This window comes from Homo sapiens, chromosome 1 (assembly GCF_000001405.40).
Source record: "Homo sapiens chromosome 1, GRCh38.p14 Primary Assembly".
Taxonomy (NCBI): Eukaryota; Metazoa; Chordata; class Mammalia; order Primates; family Hominidae; genus Homo; species Homo sapiens.
Window position 1 is genome coordinate 162598709 of NC_000001.11, and position 7972 is coordinate 162606680.

The window sequence follows — 7972 nt, forward strand, 5'->3', positions numbered from 1 at the left end:
TTGCTTAGAAAGTTAACTCTACTGGCCGCTTGCAGTGGCTCATGCCTGTAATCCCAGCGCTTTGGGAGGCCAAGGCAGGTAGATCATTTGAGGTCAGGAGTTCGAGACCAGCCTGGCCAACATGATGAAGCCCTGTTTCTACTAAAAAATACAAAAACTTAGACGGGTGTGATGGCAGGCGCCTGTAGTTCCACCTACTTAGGAGGCTGAGGCACGAGAATTGCTTGAAACTGGGAGGTGGGGGTTGCAGTGAGCATAGGGGTGAGACTACTCCGTCTCAAAAAAAAAAAGTTAACTCTGTGAGAGATGATTATAGGAAAAATGTTTATCTTATTAACTGTAGAAATGATCAGAGTAATTTTCTTTTTATATTTTTGTTTTATGCTTTTACAAGTCAGTCATTAAGTCTACTCTAAAATGTCTATTAAATAGATTTTGACTTTTATATTCTGCATCTCAACCTTTTTTGGCATTTGTGCTTTAAATCATCATTATAGCAAGTCCAGCACTGCATGACAAGTGCAAATTTTCTAATTGTGTTTCATTTCAATCCTCTTTTTAGGGATTAGAAAGTTATGTGGCAGATAAAGAATTCCATGCACCTCTAATCATCGATGAGAATGGAGTTCATGAGCTGGTGAAAAATGGTATTTGAACCAGATACCAAGTTTTGTTTGCCACGATAGGAATAGCTTTTATTTTTGATAGACCAACTGTGAACCTACAAGACGTCTTGGACAACTGAAGTTTAAATATCCACAGGGTTTTATTTTGCTTGTTGAACTCTTAGAGCTATTGCAAACTTCCCAAGATCCAGATGACTGAATTTCAGATAGCATTTTTATGATTCCCAACTCATTGAAGGTCTTATTTATATAATTTTTTCCAAGCCAAGGAGACCATTGGCCATCCAGGAAATTTCGTACAGCTGAAATATAGGCAGGATGTTCAACATCAGTTTACTTGCAGCTGGAAGCATTTGTTTTTGAAGTTGTACATAGTAATAATATGTCATTGTACATGTTGAAAGGTTTCTATGGTACTAAAAGTTTGTTTTATTTTATCAAACATTAAGCTTTTTTAAGAAAATAATTGGGCAGTGAAATAAATGTATCTTCTTGTCTCTGGAGTGTCATTTGTACTTGAAGAAATTATTTCATTGAGAAAATATGAAACTTGGGAGAAACTTTAAGATAATGCATAAAAACAAATTGATGCTTCAGTGAGGTTGCAGAGTCATAGAACTTCTTTCAGTGAATATCTAACTTTGGGCTTTATCTTCTTATCACTTTATAATAGTAGCTCTCACCCAAAGATTATTTTGTCCTCCACCCAAAGGGGCATTTGGCAATGTCTGGAGATATTTTTGGTTGTGACAAGTGGGAAAGTGAAGTGGTACCACTGGCATCTAATAGGGATTAGGGATGTCACTAAACATCCTACAATGCACAGGATGGTCTCCTACGACAAAGAGTTATCTGGCCTAAAGTGTCAATGGTGTCAAGGTCGAGAAGCCTTGTTTCAAATTATTCATTTACTCTGTTTTGCCCAAATATTTGGTGGCACTTAGGAATTCAAAAGAATGTAGTTTCTGAATTTTCTCTGGTAGGCTATTCCAGTTTTTTGTTATTGTTGTTGTTATTTTAGAGGATTAAAAAAATAAAAAGACAAAGGTGGTTCTTTAAATATGGGCCATAGATCATTGGTCATTAGTAAGGGTTCTCTGTGTCTAAAATGCTGTTTGCATGAAAAGACTGAGCTTTATAAATGCATCTTAAATAATATTTAAGTATTGACCAAAAGTATAAAAAGGAACATCTGGATAAATGATTCTAAAAATTATATCTAGAAAAGAGATGAATAAATTTCATTTTCCGCTAACAAGTTGTCACAAGATAGGATGTCATTCATGGGGTGGGTCTTTTGTTTAAGGATCACTTTTTTTTTTTTTTGAAGAGCATGTGATGTTCATATCCATCAATCTTACCTATTTTTTTTTTAACTAAGGCCTAAATCATTCATTTAGCATATTTTCTATTTTATTTCAATAACAGCTCAATTTTGCTATTGTTATCTATTCCAGTTTTCAAAAAGATTAGTGAAGTTTGACTTCTCATTGAAATGAGCTCCAAATGGGTTGTAAGAATGGAATTGCAGAGTCTTTAGCTCCTGAATGCCAAAAACTGATACTAATGGTATGATCCGTTTCTTTTTTTCTTGAACCTTGCTATTTCCTCTGCTATTTCCACCTGCTATTTATTCTTCTCCTGTTGTAAGAAAATACTAGTGATGCTAGGAAAAGGGAAGAATGGAAATGGGATTGTGTAGTGGTTTTGTTGGAGAGGAGCGATGGCTGGGGAACATTGGGTAGTTAAGAGCAAACTCTGAGAGCCTCTGAGCCATGAAATGATAAGGTGATAGCATTATGTATTTTTATGAGTTCTTGTTAAATAATTGTTATAATTCAGAAAATACAGAATTGGGTAAAATGTTTATGAAAATAAAAGCTAGAATAATTTGGCAGTAACAGTATAGAATTTATGTGACAGTTGATAGTCATTTTGAGTCTGGCTTGATCGACTGGCTGTGATTTAATAACTTTTTTGATAGTCACAAGTGAACATATAAGCCCAATGGGTATGTTACTTGAATATTTGATTTTTGTTCAATTTCCCTCTTAACCTCTCTAATTTAATCCAGTTTTGATGTCCACAAAGGAATTTTTAGTGACGTCTATTGGAAGATAAAGAAAAATTCAGTTTTCAACTTCTACCTCTTCTATTCCTGGAAGTTTTGGCTTTTATTGGTAATTTTGATTTTATTTCTAATTCCAGCTTACTATTGCTAGCACTTCCTCTTTATTCATCACAGTACAGTCAGATTTCAGTTATCCAGGTAAAAAGAGGCAAGGAAAAAGCATGCATACTCTTAGAAGAGTGACTAAAACACAAATCATTCAGTTAGTTTGGAAATCTGTTTTTCTGTTGGCCAACGTGGACATTTTTGCAATTCATGGTCCTGTTTTGAGCCCTGGTTTAGGAAATACATATTGGGAAGTGATGAATGAATGAGTTAGCCAGTAAGGACTGAGTGCTTGTCACGTGGCCAGCAATATTAGATGGGGTATAAAAAGTATAACACAGAGACTTGTCCTTAAAAAACTTACATTCTGGTTAAAGGGACAAAATTAACCCACGTAACAATGAAAAGATAATTTATTACTAAAATGTAAGGAATTAAGCTCAGTAAGAGTTAAACAAAGGTAATCATAAATTGGAGTTTATCGTGTCCTCATCGAAGGATCTCATTGTATTAGGATTCTCCAGAAAAACAGAACTGATAGGATATTAAAAGTAATGGGAAAAACTGCAATTACTTTTGCACCAGCTGAAATATGTAGATATATAGAAAGACTTATTTTGAGGAATTGGCTTATGATTATGGAGGCTAAGTCCCATGATCTGCCCTCTGCAAGCTGGTGGTGTGGTTCCAGTCCAAACCCGAAGGCCTGAGAACCAGGGGAGCCAATGGTGTAAGTCCTAGTCTGAGTCTGCAGGCTGGAGAACCAGGAGTGCAGATGTCCAAGGGCAGGAGAAGATGGATGTCCCAGCTCAAGCAGAGCCAGTTGACCCTTCCTCTGCCCTTTCATTTTATTCAGGCCCTCAATGTATTGGATTGCCCACACTGATGAAGGCAATCTTCTTTACTCAGTCTCCTGACTCAAATGTTAATATCTTCTAGAAACACCCTCAAAGACATACCTAGGAATAATGTTTTACCAGCTGTCTGGGCATGCCTTAACCCAGTCAAGCTGACACATAAAATTAACTATCACACCCATCATTTTGAGAGTAGAGCTATTTCCTTCTCAAATTGGGGTTAGATGTTTATTTTTATTTATTTTTTTGAGACGGAGTTTCACTCTTGTTGCCCAGGCTGGAGTGCAATGGCATGATCTTGGCTCCCTGCAACCTCTGCTTCCCGGGTTCAAGCAATTCTACTGTCTCAGACTCCCTAGTAGCTGGGATTACAGGCGCCTGCCACCATGCCCAGCTAATTTTTTAGTAGAGACGGGGTTTCACCATGTTGGCCAGGCTGGTTTTGAAATCCTGACCTCAGGTGATCTGCCCGCCTTGGCTTCCCAAAGTGTTGAGATTACAGGCATGAGCCATGGTGCCTGGCCAGATTTAATTACCTCTAAGTGCAAATGTGTATTGTGATTTAGAAGTGGATCATGAAAGGAAGATTTATAATTATTTTGGGGAGGAAAGGGGTCCCTTAACTGCATCAAGTTGCCAGGTGATTCATGCCCAAAATATGGGGTTAATTAGGAAATCTATAACTGATATTTCTAAGTGTGGTCGCCTGAACCAGGTACATCAGCATCACCTGGAAACTTAGAAATACAGATTCTCAGAATAACTACATTATGCATATGGGGGTGCAGCCTAGAAATGTGTGTTTTAACAAGCCATCTGCATGATTTTGGTGTACACTAAGGCTTGAGAATGGTCACTGTAAGAGAATTTGGGGAGGCTGACTGAAAGTTCAGAGATGTTCCTGTGTTGATTTGTTTAAGATAATGGCCTCCAGCTGCATCCGTGTTACTGCAAAGGACATGATTTCATTCTTTTTTATGGCTGCATAGTATTCCATGGTGTATATGTACCACATTTTCTTTATCCAGTCCACCTTTGATGGGCACCTAACTGGATTCCATGTCTTTGCTATTGTGAATAGTGCTGTGATGAACATACAAGTACATGTGTCTTTTTGGGTGAACGATTTATACATTTTTTTAGTTATATGCACAGTAATGGGATTGCTGGACCAAATGCCACATGTTTTCACTTATAAGTGGGAGCTAAACATTGGGTACTCGTGAACATAAAGATAGCAACGATAGAGACTGGGGACTGCTTGAGAGGGGAAAGAAAGGGTTGGAAAACCAATAGTTTTTCACCAGTAGTTGAAAAGCTATGCTTACTACCTGGGTGACAGAATCAATTGTACCCCAAGCCTCAGCATCACACAATATATTCATGTAACAAACCTGCACAGGTACTGCCTGAATCAAGAATAAAAGTTGAAATTATTAAAAAATGTTCAGGGATGGTACTAAAAAGGAAACATAAATTAGGGAGAGAGACTGAGAGGCCAGTGTTTCCAGAGCAATAATAAATTAAGCTAGAAACCAAATAGATAAATCTTATGTGAGCTTTGTTCTTTCAAACACCCGAGGGGGCGGTACTGATCGTGGTAAAAGAATGAAAGATGGGCTGCGTGCGGTGACTCACGCCTGTAATCCTAGCACTTTGGGAGGCCGAGGGGAGCGGATCACGACAGGAGTTCGAGACCAGCCTGACCAACATGGTGAAACTATGTTGGTCTCTACTAAAAAGACAAAAATTAGCCAGGTGTGGTGGCGTGTGCCTGTAATCCCAGCTACTCAGGAGGCTGAGGCAGGAGAATTGCTTGAACCCGGGAGGCGGAGGTTGCAGTGAGCAGAGATCATGCCACTGCACTCCAGCCTGGGCGACTCCGTCTCAAAAAAACAAACAAACAAAAAAACTAGCAAGACATGACCAGGAGAATTGTAATTACTAGAACAATGGTTTCCAACCCTTAGGATCCTCTGAATTACTTGGAGAGATTTTTGAAAAATCTTGCAAGTTTTTGACTTCAATCCTAGAGATTATGATTCTCAGTCTGGTAGAAGGCCAGAGCATCTAATTTATAAAAAGCATTAGATGATTCCAAAAGGCAGCTAGGAGTGAGAATTACTGACTTGGAGGCATAGACTTAGCTTAGAAATCAACAACCAAGGATGAGAGGGAAGAGACTGGATGTGTTCTGGCTTTGAAAGCTTAGACGAGGAGAAGAGTGAAGAACATTTCACTTGAGAACAGTACAAGCAAAAGATGAATACAGGCATTCTGGGGATAATTCCACTTTGCAAATATCTCAGACTGCTAGAAACAACCAGCCTAAATGGGGGTCTTTCTAAATTTTATCCCTGTCTGACTCAACATCTTCTGAAATGGGAATCAGGGTGGTAGGCAGGGAAGAGAAAGAGGAAAGTTAGTGAACAGTTTGGTTTAAAAATATTACAGGCACTTCTTTCGGGCTGAATGAGAAGTAAAAAGTATAATAATGTGTTAAGGCCAGGCGTGATGGCTCACACCTGTAATCCCAGCACTTTGGGAGGCTGAGGCAGGTGGGTCACCTGAGGTCAGGAGTTCAAGACCAGCCTGGGTAACATAGAGAAACCCCATCTCTACTAAAAATACAAATATTAGCCAGGCGTGGTGGCACACGCCTGTAATCCCAGCTACTCGGGAGGCTGAGGCAGGAGAATCATTTGAACCCAGGAGGCAGGGGGTACAGTGAGCTGAGATTGCACCGCTGCACTCCAGCCTGAGCCACAGAGCGACGCTCTGTCTCAAAAAAAAAAAAAAAAAAAAAAGGTGTTAAGGTGATGACGTTATGGGTGGGTTTTTTTCTCTCTATAAATTTTTGGACAATACATTCTTAATTTTATGATTAAAAAGCTTTATCTTTTATAAAGGCTCAAAGGAAAAATTAACCAAAGGTGTTCACATTAGCCACTTTGGTACAGCTGTGAAGGAAATCTGAGGTAAAATTGGCTGTGGTGCAGTTGAGGTGGAGGATGTAAACATACTTTCAGAGAGCGGAATGTGCATTGTTGCAGTATAAGAAAGCGTAGTCTCCATTATGCTATTGTCTTTGGCATTGGGCATTTAATAGAGTCTTCATTTGTGAAATATGATAATGCCTTATGATTCAGAGGAATATACGAAGGAAATATATAGAAATTTAAGGTAATGCAGTTTGAGGTAAAGCTTTTTTTCAAGAGGTTTAATATGAGCCCTCTGATGGAATGTATACATTCAGTATTATGTCTTTAAAGCTGAAAGGTCTAAAAGGCTTGCCAAAAAACTCAGTGAGTCAGTGGTGACAATATGTTTATGTGAACAGTGTTTTCCAAATTATCAACAAAGTTAGGACACCATAAGAACAAAAAGTCTATCCTTGTAGCTTCATGACTCATCTTTTCCACATCAGTTCTTCAATTTCTCTCTCAGTGATTCCACTTCCCAGGAAATGATCCTTCCCACAAATCTCAGATTTTATTCTGGTAGGCAAAGTTTTTTTTTTTCTTCTTACAAAACCATGTGTACAACTCATGTTGTATTTTATAGAGTAAAATATATAACATAATATGGATAAGATTGAAATGAGACAATCGATTTTCTTTTAAAGTTTAAAATATACATTTTATTTTATTTTTTAAAATAAATTCCTCACTTTTTTTTTTTTTTAATTGGAGACAGGTTCTCACCCTGTTGCCCAGGCTGGGGTGCAGTGGCTCAATCATAACTCACTGTAGTCTCAAAATTGTGGGCTCAAGGGATCTTCCTACTTCAGCTTTCCAAGTAGCTAGGACTATAGGCATGCAGCACCATGCCCAGCTAATTTTTTTTTTTTTTTGAGACGGAGTTTCACTCCTGTTGCCCAGGCTGGAGTACAATGGCGTGATCTTGGCTCACCGAAACTTCTGCCTCCCAGGTTCAAGCGATTCTCCTGCCTCAGCCTTCTGAGTATGTAATCCCTCCTGGGATTACAGACATGCACCACCACGCCTGGCTAATTTTGTGTTTTTAGTAGAGACGGGGTTTCTCCATATTGGTCAGGCTGGTCTTGAACTCCTGACCTCAGGTGATCTGCCTGTCTCGGCCTCCCCCCGCTAATTTTTTATTTTAATTTTTGGTAAAGATGGTCTCACTATGTTGCCCAGGCTGGTCTCGAACTCCAGGGCTCAAGAAATCCTTCCACCTTGGCCTCCCAAAGTGCTGGGAATACAGGCATGTGTGACCACATCTGGCTTATTTTATAGACTTCTAAAAGGTCTGAAATGTGATAAAGGAGAGATTAACTGTCACACGAATAT

At 38.8% G+C, this 7972-nt stretch overlaps 1 protein-coding gene across 17 annotated transcripts in view; it reads left to right on the plus strand.

Annotated features, from left to right (window-relative positions):
• Positions 1-2532, plus strand: part of UAP1 (UDP-N-acetylglucosamine pyrophosphorylase 1) — a 39710-nt gene extending 37178 nt beyond the window's left edge. For 12 of the 17 annotated variants that reach the window (NR_174352.1, NM_001399790.1, NM_001388401.1 and 9 more), the window contains one exon: positions 563-1129. Coding sequence is in view for 16 of the 17 variants with exons in the window: in NM_001399790.1 (NP_001386719.1) it covers positions 563-655 (93 nt within the window). In the remaining variant the exon portion in view is untranslated. Of the gene's footprint in view, positions 1-562 lie in introns of all 17 variants that reach the window. The other 5 variants (XM_047428845.1, NM_001324116.5, XM_047428848.1 and 2 more) reach the window with 1 other exon arrangement.
• The last annotated feature ends 5440 nt before the right edge of the window (positions 2533-7972 follow it).